At 48.3% G+C, this 24,609-nt stretch overlaps 1 protein-coding gene across 5 annotated transcripts in view, besides 5 other annotated features; it reads left to right on the top strand.

The window, feature by feature from the left end:
- Positions 14,801-15,486: an enhancer, noted in NCBI's record as "H3K27ac-H3K4me1 hESC enhancer chr10:70287929-70288614 (GRCh37/hg19 assembly coordinates)". NCBI's record gives its function as "activates a minimal SCP1, AML or CMV promoter by ChIP-STARR-seq in naive H9 embryonic stem cells {active_cell/tissue: H9 hESC(naive)}" and the evidence as "EXISTENCE:reporter gene assay evidence [ECO:0000049][PMID:30033119]".
- Positions 15,992-16,286: an enhancer, noted in NCBI's record as "tiled region #5966; HepG2 Activating DNase unmatched - State 1:Tss, and K562 Activating DNase unmatched - State 1:Tss". NCBI's record gives its function as "activates a minimal TATA promoter and a strong SV40 promoter by Sharpr-MPRA in HepG2 and K562 cells {active_cell/tissue: HepG2 | K562}" and the evidence as "EXISTENCE:reporter gene assay evidence [ECO:0000049][PMID:27701403]".
- Positions 15,992-16,438: a biological region, named in NCBI's record as "Sharpr-MPRA regulatory region 5966".
- The window catches only part of SLC25A16 (solute carrier family 25 member 16), a 49,526-nt gene continuing 41,051 nt past the window's right edge, over positions 16,135-24,609 (top strand). For all 5 annotated transcript variants that reach the window (NM_001324317.2, NM_152707.4, NM_001324314.2 and 2 more), the window contains exon 1: positions 16,135-16,412. Coding sequence is in view for 3 of the 5 variants with exons in the window: in NM_152707.4 (NP_689920.1) it covers positions 16,283-16,412 (130 nt within the window). In the remaining 2 variants the exon portion in view is untranslated. The remainder of the gene's footprint in view (positions 16,413-24,609) is intronic.
- Positions 16,229-16,438: a silencer, noted in NCBI's record as "silent region_2420". NCBI's record gives its function as "represses an Ori minimal core promoter by ATAC-STARR-seq in GM12878 lymphoblastoid cells {active_cell/tissue: GM12878}" and the evidence as "EXISTENCE:reporter gene assay evidence [ECO:0000049][PMID:35858748]".
- Positions 16,859-17,543: an enhancer, noted in NCBI's record as "NANOG-H3K27ac hESC enhancer chr10:70285872-70286556 (GRCh37/hg19 assembly coordinates)". NCBI's record gives its function as "activates a minimal SCP1, AML or CMV promoter by ChIP-STARR-seq in primed H9 embryonic stem cells {active_cell/tissue: H9 hESC(primed)}" and the evidence as "EXISTENCE:reporter gene assay evidence [ECO:0000049][PMID:30033119]".

The raw sequence follows: 24,609 nt of genomic DNA, 5'->3' as shown, positions 1-24,609 counted from the left end.
AAAGCAACCCTTGGTACATCATAGGTTTAACACCCATAGCCACCTACACATTCCTTCCAGAGCACATTTACCTTTCTCCAAGGTCTAAGCCTTGGACCTGGGCATTTGAGGTAAAGAGCTCTACCTGTCTGTGGCTGCCCAAGACCATGCTTCTCTCTGTAAATTCCCCCAATAAGTCATCCCATACTGACAAACTGGATTTATCTGCTCCCTTCTTTAATTTCTCAGCTCTTTCTGCATTTGAGGGTGGCTTTGCATATACAGCCCTTACATGAAACAAGTGGTGATCCAGCCAGGAGCCAGGAAACCAAAGCATGAGCATGAAGAAAGAAGCATCCTTGGGGAAATCCTGGGGTAGTCCTCCTCATCTAAATGAAGTGGTGCTGCCCATTTGCTAGATACCTGTGGACCATCACGTGAGTACAGAAACACCTCCAAAACCCCAGAGTCTAGAGTGCTTGTTTGTAAAAAGCCATATGACTCACTGTGGTGAGAAAGGTCAGTAAGCTGCTATGACAGTGAGTTGGCCGCTATTATGGTCTATGCCAGCAACCACAGAAGTACAGGTAGCAGCTACAGCAAATGTCTGAAAGTTAGAAGAACTGCAATTAGAAAGGGATATAAGAAATTCCACGCCAGGCCCAGTGGCTCCTGACTATAATCCCAGCACTTTGGGAGGCCGAGGCAGGTGGGTCACCTGAAGTCAGGAGTTTGAGACCAGCCTGGCCAACTTGGTGAAACCCCGTCTCTACTAAAAATACAAAAAATTAGCCAGGCGTGGTGGTGTGAGGCTGTAATCCCAGCTACTCGGGAGGCTGAGGCAATAGAATCGCTTGAACCCAGGAGGCAGAGGTTGCATTGAGCCGAGATTGCGCCATTGCACTCCAGCCTGGGCAACAAGAGTGAAACTCCGTCTCAAAAAAGAAAAACACAAAAACTTCCACATCTGTGTTAGTGTCTGGTTTGGCAGATAAGCTTGAAACTCAGGAGGCACAGTTGGAAACCTTAGCTTGACACTTTGTACAGTTGGGAGGGAGAAAACTGTGCTAATGCAGGCTGCCCTTGCCAAACCAGACTGGGATGCAAATATTTGGAATTATTGGGAACCAACTAGTGAGCCAGATAAAGACACAGAGGTTATCTGGGAGGTGGAGGATAATTATCGTCCCCTTTTGAGGGTATGCAGCAGGAAGCAAAAGCCCTATACGTACATCCTGGCCATAAGCAATAGCCTTTGCAGGAATCTTCGACGATCCAAGATTATTCCTCAGAAGAATTATTAGACCTAGCAAAAATTTCCGAACAGCTGCTGAGAGAAAGCTCAGCCACATGGATGGTGCAGCTATGGGACACTGGTGAGGATGACATTTCTCCAGCAGAGAGTGAAGCTGAAAAAAAATAAGTAATATAACCGACTCATCTCACTCTGAGACAGTGTTTGTATTATGCTAGAACTGTCTGGGGGAACTGTAGCCTTGTGGACTGGGATTATAATGACCACGAGAAAGGCTTGGCCAAATAAAAGAGACTTCTCTGGACACAGCTCACCATGGCAGTCTTTGGAAGAAGCACAGAGCACTTTTAGAGAGTGGGGCATGCATTAGGTCCAACAATTTTTTTTTTTTTTTGAGACGGAGTCTCACTCTGTCACCCAGGCTGGAGTGCAGTGGCACGATCTCATCTCACTGCAGCCTCTGCCTCCCTGGTTCAAGCAATTCTCCTGCCTCAGCCTCCCAAGTAGCTGGGATTACAGGTGCCCACCACCATGCCCCGCTAATTTTTGTACTTTTAGTGGAGATGGAGTTTCACCATGTTGGCCAGGCTGGTCCCAAACTCCTGACCTCAAGTGATCCGCCTGCCTCTGCTTCCCAAAGTGCTGGGATTACAGGCATGAACCACCTTGCCCAGTCAGCCACTGGGTCCGGCCCTGACAATTTGAAGGACCAGAAAAGACTGTGCTTACCACAGGTATGAAAAGCAAATTGTTACAGAATGCTTCCCAAGAGTAGCATGGCCTTCTCATATTCCTCTTGAGCCCTCTTATGGGACAAGATATATATAATGTGGGATAAACCATAGCTAATCTTGGAGAGACAGAACAAGGAAGAGAGAAAGTCAGATTGGTTACTAGAAAATAAAATTAAATAAAATTAAATTAAATTTAAAAACCAAGTCTGCTAGACCAAAAAGGGAAGCCAAAAAAGCCTAATTAGGATTACCAGGAAACAAATGTGGTATGATCTGATTTCACCCAAGATAGAAAAAGAGAAAATAGGCTGGGCACAGTGGCGCATGCCTGTAATTCCATCACTTTGGGAGGCCGAAGCAGGTGGATCATGAGGTCAGGAGTTCAACCAGCCTGGCCAAGATGGTGAAACCCCATCTGTACTAAAAATACAAAAATTAGCTGGGCACCGTGGCAGGCACCTGTAATCCCAGCTACTTGGGAGGCTGAGGCAGGAGAATAGCTTGAAACTGGGCGGCAGAGATTGCAGTGAGCCGAGATCAGGCCACTGCACTCCAGCCTAGGCCACAGAGTGAGACAAAGAAAAGACAAAAAAAGAAAAAAGAAAAAGAGAAAATAGATCCACAGCCAAATGCAGTATTGGTGGGCCTTTGGGAAGACCTGACTCTTGACCAACAAGTTAGGCCCCTCCCTAGTGCCCCACCAGGAAAGGGGAAAGTAACAAAAGAAACTCCATGTAAAAAACCCTAAACTCGGTTGGTCACAGTAGTTCATGCCTGTAATTCCAGCACTTTGGGAGGTCGAGGCGGGCAAATCACCTGAGGTTAGGAGCTCGAGACCACCCTGGCCAACACGATGAAACCCTGGCTTTACTATACATACAAAAAAATCAACTCGGCGTGGTGGCATGCACGTGTGGTCCCAGCTACTTGGGAGGCTGAGGCAGGAGAATTGCCTGAACCTAGGAGGTGGAGGCTGCGGTGAGCCGAGGTCATGCCACTGCACTCCAGCCTGGGCAACAGAGTGAGACTCTGTCTCAAAAAAAAAAAAAAAAAAAAAAAAAAAAACCATCTTGGCTAACACAGTAAAACCCCGTCTCTACTAAAAATACAAAATTTAGCCGGGCGTGGTGGCATGGGCCTGTGGTCTCAGTTACTTGGGAGGCTGAGCCAGGAGAATCGCTTGAACCCGGGAGGCAGAGGTTGCAGTGAGCCAAGATTGTGCCACTGCACTGCAGCCTGGGCGACAGAGTGAGACTCCACCTCAAAAAAAAAAAAAAAAAACAAAAGAAAAGAAAGAAAAGAAAATCCTAAACTTTACATTTCAAAGATTCCAAAGGTGGACTCCTCTTCAGCCTGAAGACCAGGGATGGGGCCAAGGTCACCTTCACCCACAAGCAGTAGGGGGCATAGGTCCATGTGGAGCTCACAATCTATTAGATGCCAAGAAACACATAGAGAACCTTGACTTTAGTGGACACAGGTGCAGAATGCAACTAAACCTATGTCATGTTAGATTTCGCTAATGTCTTTTTTTTTTTTTTCTTTGAGACGGAGTTTCACTCCTGTTGCACAGGCTGGAGTACAAGGGCATGATCTTGGCTCACCACAACCTCTTCCTCACGGGTTCAAGTGATTCTCCTGCCTCAGCCTCCCGAATAGCTGGGATTACAGGCATGTGCCACCACGCCTGGCTAATTTTGTATTTTTAGTAAAGACAGGGTTTCTCCATGTTGGTCAGGCTGGTTTCAAACTCCTGACCTCAGGTGATCCGCCTGCCTTAGCTTCCCAAAGTGCTGGGATTACAGGCGTGAGCCAGCGTGTCCAGCTGCTAATATCTTCTTCTTCTTCTTCTTTTTTTTTTTTTCTGTGAGACAGAGTTTCGCTCTTGTTGCCCAACCTGGAGTGCAATGGCGCGATCTCGGCTCACTGCAACCTCTACCTCCTGGGTTCAAGCAATTCTCTTGCCTCAGCCTCCTGAGTAGCTGGGATTACAGGCGCTGCTACCATGCCCGGCTAATTTTTTGTATTTTTAGTAGAGACAGGGTTTCATGATGTTGGCCAGGCTGGTCTTGAACTGCTGACCTCAGGTGATCTGCTCACGTCGGCCTCCCAAAGTGCTGGGATTACAGGCGTGAGCCACCATACCCCGCCATTAATGTCTTCTTTAGCATCCCTTTGCATCCTGACTTGCAGGACCAATTTGCTGGGTTTTTTGTTGTTGTTGTTGTTTGTTTTGTTTTGAGACAGAGTCTCACTCTGTCGCCCAGGCTGGAGTACAGTGGCTTGATCTTGGCTCACTGAAACCTCCACCTCCCGGGTTCAAGTAATTTTCCTGTCTCAGCCTCCTGAGTAGCTGGGACTACACGCAGGTGCCACCACACCCAGCTAATGCTTGTATTTTTAAAGATGGGGTTTCACCATGCTGGCCAGGCTGTTCTGGAACTCCTGACCTCAGCTGATCCACCCGCCTCGGCTTCTCAAAGTGCTCAGATTACAGGTGTGAACCACTGAAGCCTGGCTGTTTTTGTTTTTGGTTTTTGAGACAGAGTCTCCCTTTGTGGCCCATGGTAAAGTGCAGTGGCGTGATCTCAGCTCCCTGTAAGCTCCACCTCCCGTGTTCAAGTGATTCTCCTGCTTCAGCCTCCTGTGTAGCTGGGATTACAGGTGTGCACCACCATGCCCAGCTAATTTTTGTATTTGTAGTAGAGACAGGGTTTCACCATGTTGGCCAGCCTGGTCTCAAAATGCTGACCTCAAGTGATCCTCCAGCCTTTGGCCTCCCAAAGTGCTGGGATTACAGGCATGAGCCACCATGTCTGGCCAATTTGCTTTTACTTGGGATAGCTGAGGTGGACATTCCAAGTGTTGCCCCAGGGTTATTTACATAGACTCACTATTTGTCATGGTATGATTGTTAGAGGTTTGACTCTATGTCCACCACCACTTGCTGTCATATGGCTTCGTTATGTTGGTAATATTATGCTAACCTCTGAAGATTTGTCAGTGTTACAGCAACAGCTTGACACTTGTGCACCCTTCTCCAATCCAGAGGATGGGCCATCAACTTGCAAAAGATACAAGGGCCAGGACCATCTGTAAAGTTTTTAGAGGGTCACTTGATCGGGTAAGACACACCTTATCCCAGGCACATTCATTGGCAAAATATAAAAATTTTCCATGCCTAAAACAGGTAAACAGTTACAAAGTTTCCTCAGTCTTCTGGGATACCAGCAGGCATCATTCTACATTTAGCTCAATGTTTGTATCCCCTATACTGACAAGTAAAGAAGGGATCTAGTTAGTGCTGGTATAGAAAACAAGAGGAAACATTTGACAAGGCTGAAATGCTAGTGGTTCAGGTAAAAGCCTTAGGTTCCCCTTCTCCTGGATAGTGATGTCTTTAGATGTGACCATAAATGCTGAGGGGACCAGTTGGGCCCTCTGGCAAGTCCAACATGGGAAAGCAGTTCCTCTAGGATTTTGGTCACAACTCTGGACCAACAGTGCTGAAACCCACTATTCCCCACTTGAACAACAGATCCTGGGGGATGTACAAGGTCTTATAGCAAGTGGAACTCAAAACTGCTGCTTTGCCAATAACAGTAAGGCCGAGTCTCCTTGCCAGGCATGGCAGCTCAAACCTGTAATACCAGCACTTTGGGAGGCCAAAGGGGAAGGATCACTCGAGGCTCTGAGTTCCGGGCTGCAGAGAGCTTTGATGGTGCCACTGCCCTCCAGCCTAGGTGACAGAGCAAGACTTTGTCTCAAAAAAACAAAACAAAACAAAACAAAACAAAAAAACAAAACGGGTTTCCCTCTCAGAGGCTGGATGGAAGCGTTGTTTGCCAGGACTGCCTCAGCTATTGCCCAGGCCTCCACTTTACAAAAGTGGCGTGCATACCTGCAATAACATAGTGCCCTCTCCATGAGTCTCTTCAGAGATGAATTGCATGCTATCTTTTTTTTTTTTTTGGAGATGGAGTTTCGCTCTTGTTGCCCAGGCTGGAGTGCAATGGTAAGATCTTGGCTCACTGCAACCTCTGTCTCCCAGGTTCAAGTGATTCTCCTGCCTCAGCCTCCCGAGTAGCTGGGATTACAGGCATGTGCCACCACGGCCAGCTAATTGTGTTTTTTTGGTAGAGACGGGGTTTCACCATGTTGGTCAGGCTGGTCTCAAACTCCCAACCTCAGGTGATCCGTCCACCTTGGCCTCCCAAAGTGCTGGGATTACAGGCGTGAGCCACTGTGCCCAGCCGTGCATGCTATCTTAAGGCCAGTACATTATGAGACCAGTGCTGCCCCTACTGCAGAGTGTGTACATGGAGGCATGACCCTCATTCTTGAAAACATTTGGTACTCAGATGGGTTGAGCAGAGGTAACCTGTGTGGATGGACACATAGTAGCTGCAGCTGCCCATACGCAGGCAGATACCTTACGGTTTGAGAAGGGAATGCAGCAAAGCAATCAATAGGCAGAACTCTGAGCTGCACAATTGGTTTGTACCCATGAGCCATGGCCTATATATAGTTCTCCGTTCAAATAGTTGGGCAGTATTCAATGATCTTTGCCAGGAGTGGTGGTTCATGCCTATAATCCCAGCACTTTGTGAGGCCGAGATCGTTTGAGCTCAGGAGATTGAGACCAGCCTGGGCAACATAGTGAGGCCCTCGTCTCTACAAAAAAATAAAAAATTGGCTCGGTGTTGGCCACGTGCGGTGGCTCATGCCTGTAATTCCAGCACTTTGGGAGGCTGAGGCTGGTGGATCAACAGGTCAGGAGTTCGAGACCAGCCTGACCAACATAGTGAAACCCCGTCTCTACTAAAAATATAAAAATCAGCCGGGCATTGTGGCAGGAACCTATAGTCCCAGCTACTCGGGAGGCTGAGGCAGGAGAATGGTGTGAACCCGGGAGGTGGAGGCTGCAGCGAGCCAAGATGGCGCCACTGTACTCCAGCCTACAGCCTGGTGACAGAGCAAGACTCCGTCTCAAAAAAAAAAAAAAAAAAAAAATTTGACTCAGTATGGTGGTGCATACCTGTAGTCCCAGCTACTAGGGAGACTGAGGCAGGAGGATTGCTTGAGCCCAGGAGGTTGAGGCTGCAGTGAGACATTATTGTGCCAGTGGACGCTAGCCTGGGCAACAGAGCAGGACCCTGTCTCAGTTAAAAAAAAAAAAAAAAAAAGGGACCTTATAACTTGGCTTGCCCAGTGGGTTGGGATGACTGGCACATACTGTGGGGAGCTGCCATGTGGAAAGTTATTTGGGAAAAGCTATAAGAACTCACTGCAAACCTAATTGTGTATCATGTTTCAGCACATTGGTCAGATTCAACCCCCACCCCCACCCCTGTATCATGGAGGCTGGTACCCTGGCAAAAATTAGAACCCTGGCTCCCTTGCAATTCTCTGAGCTAGCTGATTGGCACATAAATACAGTGGGCATCACAGTGTATGAGTGGGCTGGCGAACAGGAAAGGGAGCAGGATTGCCCCTCTGCTATGCAGATTTAGCAGTAGCAGTAACACACTGTTCAGTTTGCTCCCACCTGTGCCCCCGCTGCATCCCACATAGATCTAGACACATATATGAGACAGCCACTCCTGTGAGAGGCTGGCAGATAGACTACAATGGACCCCTGCCAGTAAGCTTGGGATAAAAGTACATACTAACATGAAGACACCGTCACAGGATGGTTACAGGCCTTCCCTTGTAAAAGGGCAAACCAAATAGCCACCATTAAGGGCTTGGAACAACTCAGTGTCGCGTATGGATACTCTTGATGCATTTGTAGTGACGTAGGCACACATTTTACTGGGCATGATGTCCAAGATTGGGCACTTGAAAGGGATATAGACCAGAGATTTCATTTGCCATATAATCCCCAAGTGGCAAGGTTTATTTAAACAAAAAATGGCAATTTGAAGACACACAGTGAATATTTTTGCAATCCAGAACATTGCATGGGTGGGAGGTTTTGCTTCAGGCAAAACTTAATTTGGCCTTAATTAGAAACCTTAATTAGGGCCGGGTAAGGTGGCTTACACCTGTAATCCCAGCACTTTGGGAGGCCAAGGCAGGCGGATAACTTGAGGTCAGGAGTTTGAGACCAGCCTGGCCAACATAGTGAAATCCCATCTCTATTAAAAAATAGAAAAATTACCTGGGCGTGGTAGTGTGCGCCTGTAATCCCAGCTACTCAGGAGGCTGAGGCAGGAGAACTGCTTGAAATTGGGAGGTGGAGGTTGCAGTGAATCGAGATCATGCCACTGCACTCCAGCCTGGGCGGTAGAGGGAGGCGACATCTTAAAAAAAATAAAAGAAACCTTAATTTGGGCCGGGGTGGTGGTTCATATCTGTAATCCCAATGCTTTGGGAGGCCAAGGTGGGAAAATTGTTTGAGGCCAGGAATTGGAGACCAGCCTGCCGGGCAACATAGTGCAATGCTGTCTCTTCCAAAAAAAAAAAAAAAGAGAGAGAGAGTGAGCAAGATGGGCATGGTGGTGGCATGCAACTGGAGACCCAGCTACTTGTGAGGCTGAGGCAGGAGCATCACTTGAACCCAGGAGGTCTAGGCTGCAGTTAGCTATGATGGCACCACTGCACTCCAGCTTGGGCCACAGAACAAGACCCTGTTTCCAAAAAAAAGAAACAAATCTTAATTTGGTTGAAATACATTCTGTGCTGGTACCATACCATGGACTCAGTACCACCACTGGGGAGGGTCTATTGATCACACTTATAAAGAAAGTCTGGGCGGGGCATGGTGGCTCATCCCTGTAATCCCAGCACTTTGGGAGGCCAAGGCAGGCAGATCACGATGTCAAGAGATCAAGACCATCCTGGCCAACATGGTGAAACCCTGTCTGTACTATAAATAGAAAAATTAGCTGGGTGTGGTGGTGCACACCTGCAGTCCCAGCTACTCGAGCGGCTGAGGCAGGAGAATTGCTTGAGCCCGGGAGGCGGAGGTTGCAGTGAGCTGAGATTGCGCCACTGCACTCCAGCCTGGGTGACAGAGCGAGACTCTGTCTCAAAAAAAAAAAAAGTCTGACCAGATGCATGTCTACCAGTGCTGATAACAGGCCAACAGCAAATGCTATTTAGGACTCCCCAGTACCTTGATCCAGGAAGGAGACACCTTTTTTTTTTTTTTTTTTTTTTTTTTTTGTGACGGAGTTTTGCTCTTGTTGCCCAGGCTAGAGTGCAATGGCGTGATCTTGGCTCACTGCAACCTCTGCCTCCTGGGTTCAAACGATTCTCCTGCCTCAGCCTCCTGAGTAGCTGGGATTACAGGTATGTGCCACCACCCCGACTAATTTTGTATTCTTAGTAGAGACGGGGTTTCTCTATGTTGGTCAGGCTGGTCTTGAACTCCCAACCTCAGGTGATCCAACCGCCTCGGCCTCCCAAAGTGCTGGGATTACAGGTGTGAGCCACCGCGCCCGGCAAGGGGAGGAGACACTTGAATGAGGGTTGGACTGGCAACTTCCCCCAGGTTGAACAGGGCCTTTCTTGCCGAAGAGCAAGGGATTTCCTGGCCAGTGTAAGTGGTCTGCATTGATCCTTTTGGAGTCTGGGCCAAAATGCTCCACATGCCAATACATTGGAACAAGGCTTCTTTTAAAGGGAACCTTGGTCAGCCGTCCGACATGGTCTTTTGCTACTCCTGTAGTCTTACACATAATACTGGCACCTTTGTCCCTTGGGCAACATGTTTGGTATGCACCCCCAGCCCATAATCCTTAGGCTGCCTATGTCCTCACTAATGAGATGAAACTACCATAGTAATTCCGCTTGATGGAGAAGAACTCCCCCACCAAGTATCTACTAAACATTTATATTTCCACTCACAGTCTTCTGTTCCTCCTGGTGCTCTGCCCTACAGAAGGAGAAATGAACCTCTTTCTGAAGTGTGTTTCTCTACCCTTTCTTTCTCCCAGTGGCTCTCCTCCTGGTTTGGCTATGGGTAAACGTGGTGACAAAGGCATTTTTAATTCTGTGCCTTATATTTGACCTATGATATCTCGTCTGTTGTATTGTTGCTGCAGCCTCTGCTTACAACTAGAAAACAAACTGATGCAGCATGTCACCCACACCATGGAAATAACTTCAGCGTCTCCCATAAGGCTCAGGGGCCATCGCAGAAGAAGTAGGTGCATCAGATTGTAATAGATGCATTAGAGGGGTAGAATGTGGGGCCAAGAGTGACTTTATTTTGGCCGGGTGAGGTGGCTCATGCCTGTAATCCCAGCATGTTGGGAGGCCGAGGTGGGCAGATCACCTGAGGTCAGGAGTTTGAGACCAGCCTGGCCAATATGGTGAAACCCCATCTCTACTAAAAATACAAAAATTAGCCGGGAATGGTGGCATGCGCCTGTGGTCCCAGCTACTCAGGAGCTTGAGACGGGAGAATTGCTTGAACCCGGGAGGCGGAGGTTGCAGTGAGCTGAGATCGTGCCTTTGCACTCCAGCCTGGGCTACAAGAGTGAGACTCCATCTCAAAAAAAAAAAAAAACACACAGAAAAAAATGTGTGTGTGTGTGCATATATATATATATATATATATATATATATATATATGCACACACATATATATACATACAAGAAAATTAGCCGAGTATGGTGGCTTGTGACTGTAATCCCAGCTACTCGGGAGGCTGAGGCAAGAGAGTCGCTTGAATCCAGGAGGCGGAGGGTGCAGTGAGTGGAGATCGCGCCACTGCACTCCAGCCTGGTGACAGAGCGAGACTCTGTCTCAAAATAATAATAATAATAATAATAATTATTATTATTATTATAATAAAAAGGAGAGAAAAGGATAGTGAATTGTGGTATGGATTGGTAATTTTAAATATCGTAGTTAGGCAAGGCCTCTTTCAGGTGTCATTTTGTCTAAATACTTGGAGGGGAGAGAAGGAGGAAGTTACGAGGAATATCTAGCAGTACAGGCAGAAGACATAGCACATGCATAGTCCCCGAAGGAAGCATGTTTGGTGTTTATGAAAAACAACAAAGAGGCCAGCATGACTGAGGGGAGTCCTAGTTGTGGAGGTCAGAGATTTAGTAGGAATTCACAAAGTCATTGTAAGGATTTCAGCTTTCTCTATGTGGAATGGGAAGCCATCAGAGGGGGTTTTTTTTGTTTGTTTTTGTTTGTTTGAGACGGAATTTCGCTCTTGTTGCCCAGGCTGGAGTGCAATGGCATGATCTCAGGTCACAGCAACCTCTGCCTCCCAGGTTCAAGCAATTCTCTTGCCTCAGCCTCTTGAGTAGCTGGGATTACAGGTATGCGCCACCACGCCTGGTTGTGGCTCATGCCTGTAATCCCAGCACTTTGGGAGGCCGAGGCAGGCACATCATGAGATCAGGAGTTCAAGACCAGCCTGGCCAACATGGTGAAACCCTGTCTCTACTGAAAATACAAAAATTAGCATGGCATGGTGGCACGCGCCTGTAATCCCAGTTACTCCAGAGGCTGAGGTAGGAGAATCACTTGACTCCGGGAGGCGGAGATTGCAGTGAGCAGAGATCGTGCCACTGCACTCCAGCCTGGGCGACAGAGCAAGACTTCGTCTAAAAAAAAAAACCATAGTTGGAGACCGGGCACATGGCTCACACCTGTCATCCTAGCACTTTGGGAGGCTGAGGTGGTATTACTTGAAGCTAGGAGTTCGAGAGCAGTCTGGGCAACAGAGTGAGACCTTGTCTCTACAAAAAATTAAAAAACAGGCTGGGCGAGGCGGCTCACGCGTGTAATCCCAGCATTTCAGGAGGCCAAGGTGGGCAGATCACCTGAGGTCAGAAGTTCAAGACCAACCTGGCCAACATGGTGAAACCCTGTCTCTACTAAAAATACAAAAATTAGCTGGGCCTGGTGGTGGGCGCCTGTAATCCCAGCTACTTGGGAGACTGAGGCAGGAGAATCACTTGAACCCTGAAGGCAGAGGTTGCAGTGAGTTGAGATCGTGCCATTACACTCCAGCCTGGGTGACAAGAGTGAAACTCTGTCTGAAAAAAAAAAAAAAGAAATTTAAAAACAAATTAGCCAGACATAGTGGTGCATGCCAGTAGTCCCAGCTACTTGGGAGGCTGAGGTGAGAGGATCACTTGAGCTCTGGAGTTTGAGGTTGCAGTGAGCAGTGAGCTGTGATCTTGCCACTGTACTTCAGCCAGAGCAAGAGACCTTGCCTCAAAAAAAAAAAAAAAAGGTGGGGGGTGCGGGGCTGGGGGCAGTGATTCATGCCTGTAATCACAGAACTTTGGGAGGCCAAGGTGGGTGGATCACCTGAGGTCAGGAGTTTGAGACCAGCCTGACCAACATAGTGAAACCTTGTCTCTACTAAAAATACAAAATTAGCCAGGCCTGGTGGTGCATGCCTGTAATCCCAGCTACCTGGGAGGCTGAGGCAGGAGAATTGCTTGAACCTGGGAGGTGGTGATTGCAGTGAGCCGAGATTGTGCCATTGAACTCCAGCCTGGGCAATAAGAGGGAAACTTCAACTCAAAAAAAGAAAGAAAAAAGCCATGAGGTTGGGTGAGATCTCTAAGAGCAAATAAAATCATAGAAGAGACCCATAGACTAAGCTCTGGGACACTAGAACATCTGCAAATGCACGTTTTGCAGAGGCACATGCACAGAAAAAGAAAGAGATCAGTATCTGTAAAGGGAAGGCTGGAGTAAGTATTTAGAAAAAATATGATAGGTAATTTCTGAAAGGGAGGATAAAAGTTCAGTACAACTTTGGTCACAAAGATTGGGAATGAGTTTTGTCCAGGCTGGAAGTGATGTGGGGTCCACAGTAAGAGAGAAGTGCTTGTAAATGGTGGTTAACAAATAAGAGTCTTGGATACAGTGGGACCAGGGAGATGAACCTGGAAGTTTCCTCAGAGTTTAGGGCAGAGACTTGAGGTTGGTAGGAAGCAGAGCACAGTGGAATTTGTAAAAAGTAAAATAGAGGTTCCTCTTCAAAGACTTTCCTCCTCGTCTAATTAGGAATAAATAATAACTTCTCTTTTTTTTTTTTTTTGAGACAGAGTCTCTCTCTGTCGCCCAGGCTGGAGTGTAGTGGTGCGATCTCGGCTCACTGCAAGCTCCACCTCCTGGGTTCCCACCATTCCCCTGCCTCAGCCTCTCGGGTAGCTGGGACTACAGGTGCCTGCCACCACGCCCGGCTAATTTTTTGTATTTTTAATAGAGAAGGTGTTTCACCGTGTTAGCCAGGATGGTCTCGATCTCCTGACCTCGTGATCCGCCCACCTCGGCCTCCCAAAGTGCTGGGATTACAGGCATGAGCCACCGCGCCCAGCCAACTTCTTTTAAAAGCAAAATTTATTCAAAGACCTGTGCTAACATTCTTAAATATCTGCTAGCCATAATAAAAAAATCAATGTACTTTATGTTTTTAGCTCCCACAATTTAGTCTAAATATTTGCCCTGGCATGCTGGTCCAAGCAAGCATTAGGTCATAACCTGTTTCTCTTCCTTATTTAAAAGTGTTTTTACCTTTCTCAACATTCCACAAGTTACTTCCTCCTTCCCTTGTTCCCCTCTACCTTTGCCTCTTTTAAAAAGTTCTAAGTTACTAGCCAATCGAAACAAACAAAAAATGTGAGGTCCTGTTCCAGCCAATGGAAACCGGACACAGCAGTGGGGTAGACGCGTCAGGTCATAAATGACCCTGTCTCCTTTGTTCGGTGTACTCTCCTGGCAAAACTGCTGGCGAGTGTACCCTTTCTGCAAAAAGTAAAAATGGCCTTACTAAATAAATTAAATTTATGTTCAAGTGCTATTTATTTACGGCACCAAAAAACAAATATTTCAAACAAATTGGAGAACTGAGTGGAAGACAGATTCAGGATTGCCTGGAAAGGCAGAACTATTTGTGAAATGTGTAGGGCCGAAAAGAAAGAATCACCTGCTTTAGCAAATACTATATATATGTGCATATTATATATGCATATATGTATATATAATATATACATATATGTATATATAATATATACATATATGCATATATAATATATACATATATACACACATATATACATATATATACACATATATATACACGTGTGTGTGTGTGTATATATATATATATATATATATTTTTTTTTTTTTTTTTTGAGACGGAGTTTTGCTCTTGTCGCCCAGGCTGGAGTGCAACGGTGCAATCTCAGCTCACTGCAACCTCCGCCTCCCAGGTTCAACCGATTCTCCTGCCTCGGCCTCCCGAGTAGCTGGGATTACTGGCACCCACAGGCACCCACAACCACGCCTGGCTAATTTTTGTATTTTTAGTAGAGACAAGGTTTCACCATGTTGGCCAGGCTGGTCTCGAACTCCTGACCTTTGGTGGTCCGCCAGTCGTGGCATCCCAAAATCCTGGGATTACTGCATGAGCCACCGCCCCAGGCCTGGTTGTGTGTGTTTTTTTTTTTTTTTTTTTTTTTTTTTGCAGAGGTGGTAGGGGAGGAATGGAAGCTTAGTGGGGGATTTAGGGAGGGCAGAAATTGGTGTTCAGTGAGGAGCTCTGACAAGGCAGAGCTGATTTGGTGGGAGATGGAAGCAAGTCAAAACATGCCTGAAAAAGCGAGAAGCCGCAGGTTAGAAAGGCTGCATCTTGGCCGGGCGCCGTGGCTCATGCCTGTAATCCCAGCACTTTGGGAGGCCGAGGCAGGCGGATCGCGAGGTCAGGAGATGGAGACCATCCTGGCTAACACGGTGAAACCCCGTCTCTACTAAAAATACAAAAAATTAGCCGGGCGTGGTGGTGGGCGCCTGTAGTCCCAGCCACTCAGGAGGCTGAGGCAGGAGAATGGCGTGAACCCGGGAGGCAGAGCTTGCAGTGAGCCGAGATCAGGCCAGTGCACTCCAGCCTGGGCGACACAGCGAGACTCCGTCTCAAAAAAAAAAAAAAAAAAAAAAAAGAAAGGCTGCATCTTAGGGAGGTCAGAATACAGCTCCGAGAGCAGGGCGCAGAGGCTCACGCCTGCAATTCCAGCACTTTGGGAGGCCGAGGAGGGCGGATCCGATGAGGTCAGCAGTTCGGACCAGCCTTGACCAATACGTTGGAAACCCCGTCTCTACTAAAAATACAAAAAGTAACCAGGGGTAGTATTGCACGCCTATAATCCCACCTACTAGGGAGGCTGAGGCAGGAGAATTGCTTGAACCCAGGGGGTGGAGGTTGCAGTGAGCAGAGATCTCGCCACTGCACTCCAGCCTGGGCAACAGAACGAGACTCCGTCTCAAAAAAAAAAAAAAAAAAAGCGCGATAGGCGATTACTGGTCAGTGGTCAATATAGGTCAAGGGACGAGACAGGAGAGAGCTTTCTAAGGTTGTGGGCCTTTTTATTTTTTATTTTTTTGAGGCGTAGTCTCGCTGTGTCGCCCAGGCTGGAGTGCAATGGTGCGATCTAGGCTCACTGCAATCTCCGCCTCCTGGGTTCAACCAATTCTCCTGCCTCAGCCTCCCCAGTAGCTGGGATTACAGGCGCCCGCCCTCACGCCTGGCTAATTTTTTGTATTTTTAGTAGAGACGGGGTTTCACCATGTTCGCCTGGCTAGTCTTTTTTTTTTTTAGACGGAGTCTCACTCTGTCACCCAGGCTAGAGTGCAGTGGCGCTATCTCAGCTCACTGCAACCTCTGCCTCCTGGATTCAAGTGATTCTCCTACTTCAGCCTCTCGAGTAGCTGGGACTACAGGTGCCCGCCACCCCGCCCGGCTAATTTCTGTATTTTTAGTAGAGACGGGGTTTCACCATATTGGCCAGGCTGGTCTCGAACTCCTGACTTTGTGATCCGCCCGCCTCAGCCTCCCAAAGGGCTGGGATTATAGGCGTGAGCCACGGCGCCCGGCATCCAGGCTAGTCTTGAACTCCTGACCTCAAGTGATCCGTCCGCCTGGGCCTCCCAAAGTGCTGGGATTACAGGCGTGAGCCACCGCGCCCGGCCAGGTTGTGGGTTTTAATGGGACCATCTCACTGCCTACCGTTTCCTTTTTCCGTCCGAACAGAAGGGGCCTGAGCAGTGAACTGACAGTGGCAACGCCGGGTGAGGCGGGATGGAGGAGTTTACGAGCCTGGGTGACGCCCTGTTCCGCGTCCTGGCCCCGCCCCTCCCGGCAGAGCCCCTTGGCGCGTGACACAGGCCCCGCCCTTGCTGTACGCCATCAGCCGGCGCCGCGCCGCCGGGTGTTACTTTGCCCCGCCGGCGGGGCGGTCAGCCTCCTGTCACCGCCTGTTCCGGCTATGGTCCCGTCCGGTGTTCTGTAAGTTGGCAACCTAGGCTCCTGACGCGACCCTGGTCCTGATGGCGGCGGCGACGGCCGCGGCAGCCCTGGCGGCGGCCGATCCCCCTCCCGCAATGCCGCAGGCGGCAGGGGCCGGAGGGCCCACAACCCGCAGAGACTTCTACTGGCTGCGCTCCTTTCTGGCCGGAGGTGGGTCCATGCCACGAAGAGCCAGCCGCGCTCTGAGTGGCGGGGGCAGGACTGTGGGCAAGTGGGATGCAAGCGGCCTCTATGACATTCCTGGACTCTGGCTGCTTCAATGTTCTGTTAGATGTCTGCCCTGACCTGCTGTAACCTCTTTCTAGTAATCACTTGACTAATGACAGCTAGGTTATGGGGAGTGGGACCTTTGGCACTCCGGCAGAGGCTGGGGAGGTGGAAGGTCTGAATCAGGCACCCATTCTTCAGGGCTGGATAACAGGGAAAAGAGGAGGATCCCTTACAGAGACCCTGGGGTTTTAGTGAGACATGCTGGGCACTCCTTTCTTTTATAAAAACCGTGAGTGACCCAGTGTAGACTTGGATTTTGCTGTTTGCTTAAAGGAAAACAAATATTGGAGATCAGCTTTTTAATGACTACTGGAAAATTGTGCAAACTGTCTACAGCCAAAACTGGTTCCAGTGATTCTAGTAAACTGTGACACAGTACTTGACAAGCCCTATTATTGATGTGACTTTGGGATCAAAAAGTTCATATTGTCTCTTAGGAATTTCCTGGGCCTTCAAGCTCCACCCTTCCTTAATTACTTCTCTGGGTTGTGTAGGGGTGGGTTGCCCCTCCACACCTGTGGGTGTTTCTCGTAAGGTGGAACGAGAGACTTAGGAAAGAAAAAGACACAGAGACAAAGTATAGAGACAGAAATAAGGGGACCCGGGGAACCAGCGTTCAGCATATGGAGGATCCCGCCAGCCTCTGAGTTCCCTTAGTATTTATTGATCATTTGTGGGTGTTTCTCGAAGAGGGGGATGTGTCAGGGTCACAAGACAATTGTGGGGAGAGGGTCAGCAGACAAACACGTGAACAAAGGTCTTTGCGTCATAGACAATGTAAAGGATTAAGTGCTGTGCTCTTAGATATGCATACACATAAACATCTCAATGCTTTACAAAGCAGTATTGCTGCCCGCAGGTCCCACCTCCAGCCCTAAGGCGGTTTTTCCCTATCTCAGTAGATGGAGCATACAATCGCGTTTTATACCGAGACATTCCATTGCCCAGGGACAGGCAGGAGACAGATGCCTTCCTCTTGTCTCAACTGCAAGAGGCATGCCTTCCTCTTATACTAATCCTCCTCAGCACAGACCCTTTACGGGTGTCGGGCTGGGGGACGTTCAGGTCTTTCCCTTCCCACGAGGCCGTATTTCAGACTATCACATGGGGAGAAACCTTGGACAATACCTGGCTTTCCTAGGCAGAGGTCCCTGCGGCCTTCCGCAGTTTTTGTGTCCCTGGGTACTTGAGATTAGGGAGTGGTGATGACTCTTAAGGAGCATGCTGCCTTCAAGCATCTGTTTAACAAAGCACATCTTGCACCGCCCTTAATCCATTCAACTCTGTGACACAGCACATGTTTCAGAGAGCACGGGGTTGGGGGTAAGGTTATAGATTAACAGAATCTCAAGGCAGAAGAATTTTTCTTAGTACAGAACAAAATGGAGTCTCCTATGTCTACTTCTTTCTACACAGACACAGTAACAATCTGATCTCTCTTGCTTTTCCCCACAGGTTGTCATTACTTAATTATTTAAGATTCAAAAATTTAAAAATTCCACATTGAAGTTGTGTGCAGTGGCTCACTACTGTAGTCCCAGTTACTAGGGAAGCTGAGGCAGGAAGACTGCTTGAGTCCAGGAGATCGAGGCTCCAGTAAGCCATGATCACACCACTACCCTCCAGCCTGAGCTACAGAGAGAGACCCTCTCCTAAAAGAAGAAAAAAACAAAAACAAACAATAAAAATTCGCTGGGCAGGGTGGCTCACGCCTGTAATCCCAGCACTTTGGGAGACTAAGGTGGGCAGATCACTTGAAGTCAGGAGTTTGAGACCAGCCTGGCCAACATGGTGAAACCCTGTCTCTACTAAAACTACAAAAATTTGTCAGGCGTGGTGGCACTCGCCTGTAATCCCAGCTACTCAGGAGGCTTAAGGCAGGAGAGTCGCCTAAATCACTGTGGAGGTTGCAGTGAGCCGAGATCCTGCCATTGCACTCCAGTCTGGGTGACAGAGACACTCCATCTCAAAAACAAAATAAAATAAAACAAAAAAAACCTCACATTATGAGGATTTGTAGAAAGATAATATCTGAAGACTGCAGCAGTATTAAGTTTTTTTTGTTGTTGTTGTTGTTTTGAGACAGAGTCTCACTCCCTCACCCAGGCAGGAGTGCAGTGGCGTGATCTTGGCTCACTGCAACCTCTGCTTCCTGGGTTCAAGTGATTCTGCTGACCCAGCTTCCCAAGTAGCTGGGATTACAGGGGAATGCCACCATGCCTGGCTAATTTTTTTTCTTTTTCTTTTTTGAGATGGAGTCTCACTCTGTCGGCCAGGCTGGAGTGCAGCGGCACGATCTCTGCTCACTGCAACCTCCGTATCCGGGTTCAAGTGATTTACCTGCTTCTGCCTCCCAAGTAGCTGGGATTACAGGCGTGCACCACCATGCCCAGTTAATTTTTTTTTTTTTTTTTTTTTGAGATGGAGTCTCACTATGTAGCCCAGGCTGGAGTGCAGTGGCGCAATCTCGGCTCACTGCAACCTCTGCCGCCTGGTTCAAGCGATTCTCCTGCCTCAACCTCCCGAGTAGCTGGGATTACAGGTGCTCGCCACCGTGCCTGGCTAATTTATTTATTTATTTATTTTTGAGACGGTGTCTTACTCTCACCCAGGCTGGAGTGCATTAGTGCCATCTCAGCTCACTGCAACCTTTGCCTCCTGGGTTCAAGAGATTCTCCTGCCTCAGCTTCCTGAGTAGCTAGGACTATAGGTGTGTGCCACCACACCCAGCTAATTTTGTATTTTTAGTAGAGACGAAGTTTTACCATGTTGGCCAGGATGGTCTCGATCTCTCTTTTTTTTTTTTTTTTTTTTTGAGATGGAGTTTCTGTTGCCCAGGCTGGAGTGCAGTGGCGTGCTCTCGGCTCACTGCAATCTCATCTCTGCCTCCCGGGTTCACGCCATTCTCCTGCCTCAGCCTCCTGAGTAGCTGGGACTACAGGCGCCCGCCACCACGCCCGGCTAATTTTTTGTATTTTTAGTAGAGACGGGGTTTCACCATATTAGCCAGGATGGTCTCGATCTCCTGACCTCGTGATCCGCCCGCCTTGACCTCCCATAGTGCTGGGATTACAGGCGTGAGCCACCTGGTCTTGATCTTTTGACCTTGTGATCCACCCACCTCGGCCTCCCAGAGTGGTGGGATTACAGGCGTGAGCCACTGTGCCTGGCCCTAATTTTTATATTTTTAGCAGAGACAGGGTTTTACCATGTTGGCCAGGCTGGTCTCGAACCCGTGGCCTCAAGCAATCTGCTCACCTCTGCCTCCCAAAGTGCTGGGATTAAAGGCATAAGCCACCAATCCAGGCCTCGGGATTTAATTATTTTGTTCTGCTGATAAAATGACATTTAGGCTAGGTGAGGTGTCTCACACCTGTAATCCCAGCACTTCAGGAGGCTCAGGTGGGCAGATCACCTGAGGTCAGGAGTTCAAGACCATCCCGGCCAACATGGCGAAACCCCATCTCTACTAAAAATACAAAAAAACTAGCCAGGCTTGGTGGCACGCACCTGTAGTCCCAGCTACTTGGGAAGCTGAGGCATGAGAATCGCTTCAACCTGGGTGGTGGAGGTTGTTGTGAGACAAGATCGCTCCACTGCACTCCAGCCTGGGCAACAGAGCAAGACTCCCTCTCAATTAAAAAAAAATGACATTTATTCACACGGAAAATATTCGAGTTCCAACTATGTGCCTCCGACTTGCTTGGTATAAATCAGAGAACAAAATATCTATGGCCGGGTGCACTGGTTCAGGCCTCTATTCTCAGCACTTTGGGAGGCTGAGTAGCGGGGATAGCTTGAGCTAATGAGTTGGAGACCAGCCTGGGCAACATAGTGACACCCAGTCTGTACAAAAAATACAAAAATTAGCTGGGCATGGTGGCGCCCACCTGTTGTAGTCCCAGCTACTCAGGAGGCTGAGGCAGGAGAATCACTTGAACGCGAGAGGCGGAGGTCGCAGTAAGCCCAGATCGCAGCACTGCACTCAAGCCTGAGCAACAGAGCCAGATTCCGTGAAAGGGGGAATAAAAAGAGCTATCGTTGTTGGCTAAGTTAAATGCACTTTGACAAACATGTTGTGTAATGACCACCATAGTCAAGATATAGAGTAGTTCCAAAATATTTCCACTTTTATTTTTTTTTTGAGACATTCTCGCTTTGTTGCCTAGGCTGGAGTGCAGTGGCCTGATTATCACTGCAACCTCCACCTCCCGTGTTCAAGTGATCCTCCTGTCTCAGCTTCCAGAGTAGCTGGGACTACCGGTGGGTGCCACCACTTCTGGCTAATTTTTTTTTTTTTTTTTTTTTTTTGAGAAGGAATCTCACTCTGTTGCCTAGGCTAGAGTGCAGTGGTGCAATCTTGGCTCACTACAACCTCCAGCTCCCAGGTTCAAGTGATTCTCCTGCCTCAGCCTCCCGAGTAGCTGGGACTATAGGCGTGTGTCACCACACCTGGCTAATTTTTTGTATTTTTAGTAGAGACGGGGTTTCACCGTGTTAGCAAGGATGGTCTTGATCTCCTGACCTCGTGATCCGCCTGCCTCGGCCTCCGAAAGTGCTGGGATTACAGGCATGAGCCACCGTGCCTGGCCTAATTTTTGTATTTTCAGTGGAGACCGGGTTTCACCATTCTGGCCAGACTGGTCTCGAATTCCTGACCTTAAGTGATCCACCTGCCTTGGCCTCCCAATGTGTTAGAATTACAGGCATGAGCCACTGTGCCTGGCTTTATTTCCACTTTTCTTTGACAATCCTCTCCTCTCATCTGCAACCCTTGTCAACCACTGATCTGTTTTTCTATCTCTGTAGTCTTGACTTTTCCAGAATATTATATAAATCGGGTCATATAGTATGTAGCCTTTTGAGTCTGACTTCCATCACTTACCTTAATGCATTTAAGATTCATTCACATTGCACGTATAAGTAATGTATTTCCTTCTTTTCTTTTTTCTTTTTTTTTTTTGAGACAGAGTCTCTCTCTGTTGTCCAGGCTGGAGTGCAGCAGCATGATCTCAGCTCACTGCAACTTCTGGCTCCCGAGTTCAAGCGATTTTACCGCCTCAACCTCCCGATTAGCTGGGACTACAGGTGGTGTGCGCCATCACGCCCAGCTCATTTTTGTATTTTTAGTAGAGACGGGTTTCACTATGTTGGCCAGACTGGTCTCCAATTCCTGACCTCAAGTGATCTGCCCACCTCAGCATCCCAAAGTGTTAAGATTACAGGCATGGCCGGGCGCGGTGGCTCACGCCTGTAATCCCAGCACTTTGGGAGGCCGAGGCGGGCGGATCACGAGGTCAGGAGATCGAGACCATCCCGGCTAAAACGGTGAAACCCCGTCTCTACTAAAAAAAAATACAAAAAATTAGCCGGGCGTAGTGGCGGGCGCCTGTAGTCCCAGCTACTTGGGAGGCTGAGGCAGGAGAATGGCGTGAACCCGGGAGGCGGAGCTTGCAGTGAGCCGAGATCCCGCCACTGCACTCCAGCCTGGGCGACAGAGCGAGACTCCGTCTCAAAAAAAAAAAAAAAAAAAAAAAAAAAAAGATTACAGGCATGACCCACTGCACCAGTCCTCGTTGTGTTTATTTTTTATTTATTGAGATGGAGTCTTGCTTTGTCACCCAGGCTGGGTGCAGTGGCACCATCTCTGCTCACTGAAACATCCGCTTCTTGGGTTCAAGCGATTCTGCCACCTCAGACTCCACAGTAGTTGGGATTACAGGTGTGTTGCTTGGCTAGTTTTTGTACTGTTAGTAGAGATGGGGTTTTGCCATGTTGGCCAGGCTGGTCTCGAACTGAGCTCAAGTGATCCTCCTGCCTCAGCCCACCAAAGTGCTGGGATTACAGGCATTAACCACCACAGCCGGCCGGTTTTAATTAGAAACTGTCAAAGTATTTCTAAAGTGTCTATTCCATTTTGTATCCCCACTGCCTTGTTGGCACTTGATATTAAATGTGAGTATGTGTGTGTCTGTGTGTTCCTTTTTTTTTTGGAGACGGAGTCTCACTTTGTCACCAGGCTGGAGTGCAGTGGCGCGATCTCGGCTCACTGCAACCTCTGCCTCCCAAGTTCAAGTGATTCTCCTGCCTCAGCCTCCCGAGTAGCTGGGACTGCAGGCACGTGCCACCATGCCGGCTAATTTTTTGTAGTTTTAGTGGAGACGGGGTTTCACCATGTTAGCCAGGATGGTCTCGATCTCCTGACCTTGCGATCTGCCCGCCTCAACGTCCCAAAATGCTGGGATTACAGATGTGAGGCACCATGCCTGGCCCTTCGCCTGGCTAATTTTTGTATTTTTTTTTTTTTTTTTTTGAGACAGAGTTTTGCTCTTGTTGCCCAGGCTGGAGTGTAATGGTGCAATTGTGAATCACTGCAACCTCTGCCTCCTGGATTCAAGCAATTCTCCTGCCTCAGCCTCCCGTGTAGCTGGGATTACAGGCATGTGCCACCAGGCCTAGCTAATTTTTGTATTTTTAGTAGAGATAGTGTTTCTCCATGTTGGTCAGGCTGGTTTCGAACTTCTGACCTCAGGTGATCTGCCTGCCTCGGACTTCCAAAGTGCTGGGATTACAGGTGTGGGCCACTGCGCCTGGCCTAATTTTTGTATTTTTAGTAGAGACGGGGTTTCACCAAGTTGGCCAGGCTGGTCTTGAAATCCTGACCTCAAGTGATCCTCCCACCTAGGCCTCCCAAAATGCTGGGATTATAGGCATGAGCCATTGTGCCCGGGTCAATTGTTTATTTACAGATTGTCTATCTAATATTTTTTGAACATGGATGACTGGTGGTAACTAAAACTGCAGAAAGTGAAATTGCAGATAAGGGGGGACTATCGTAGTGTGAAAGCAAGTTAAGATACTATTAAATAGGCTGGGTGCGGTGGCTCATGCCTGTAATCCCAGTACTTTGGGAGGTAGAGGCGGGTGGATGACGAGATCAGGAGTTCAAGAACAGTCTGGCCAACATGGTGAAACCCTCTCTCTACTAAAGACTAAAAAAAGAAAAAATTAGCTGGGCGAGGTGGTGGGTTCCTGTAATCCCACCTACTCGGGAGGCTGGGGCAGGAGAATCGCTTGAACCTGGGAGGTGAAGGTTGTAGTGAGCCGAGATCGCACCATTGCACTCCAGCCCTGGAAAAAAAAAAAAAAAGATACTATTATATAAAAGTACTTATTGAATACATTCTAAACAATTTCTCTCTTTTTTTTTGAGACGGAGTTTCGTTCTTGTCGCCCAGGCTGGAGTGCAGTGACATGATCTCGGCTCACTGCCACCTATGCCTCCCGGGTTCAAGCGATTCTCCTGCCCCAGCTTTCCAAGTATCTGGGATTATAAGCATGTGCCACCACACCTGGCTAATTTTTGTATTTTTAGAAGAGATGGGGTTTCACCATGTTGGCTAGGCTGGTCTCGAACTCCTGACCTCAGATGATCTGCCCACCTCGGCCTCCCAAAGTGCTGGGAATACAGGCGAGAGCCACTGCACCTGGCCTAAATAATTCATTATACAGTTAATTCATACACAACTGAGAAGATAATATAAAATATTCTGAAACCAAATGTATCCAAATGCATATTATTTTTAGTTTACCCATAATTTTGGATAGCTATGATTATGATTTACTTTTTTTTTTTTTTTGAGATGGAGTCTCACTCTGTCACCCAGGCTGGAGTGCAGTGGCACAATCTCAGCTCACTGAGACCTCTGCCTCCCGGGTTCAGGCAATTCTCTGCCTCAGCCTCCCGAGTAGCTGGGATTACAGGTGTCCGCTACCACACCTGGCTAATTTTTGTATTTTTAGTAGAGACAAGGTTTCACCATCTTGGCCAGGCTGGTCTTGAACTCCTGACCTCGTGATCCACCCACCTCGGCCTCCCAAAGTGCTGGGATTACAGGCATGAGCCACTGCGCCCAGCCTTTTTTTGTTTTTTGAGACGGAGTTTCATTCTTGTTGCCCAGGCTAGAGTGCAATGGTGTGATCTCGGCTCACCACAACCTCTGCCTCCCAAGTTCAAGTGATTCTCCTGCCTCAGCCTCCCAAGTAGCTGGGATTACAGGCACACGTCATCACACCC

This window comes from Homo sapiens, chromosome 10, assembly GCF_000001405.40.
Source record: "Homo sapiens chromosome 10, GRCh38.p14 Primary Assembly".
Classification (NCBI taxonomy): Eukaryota; Metazoa; Chordata; class Mammalia; order Primates; family Hominidae; genus Homo; species Homo sapiens.
Note: the sequence above shows the minus strand (reverse complement) of the source record. Positions and strands in the feature narration are given on the sequence as shown.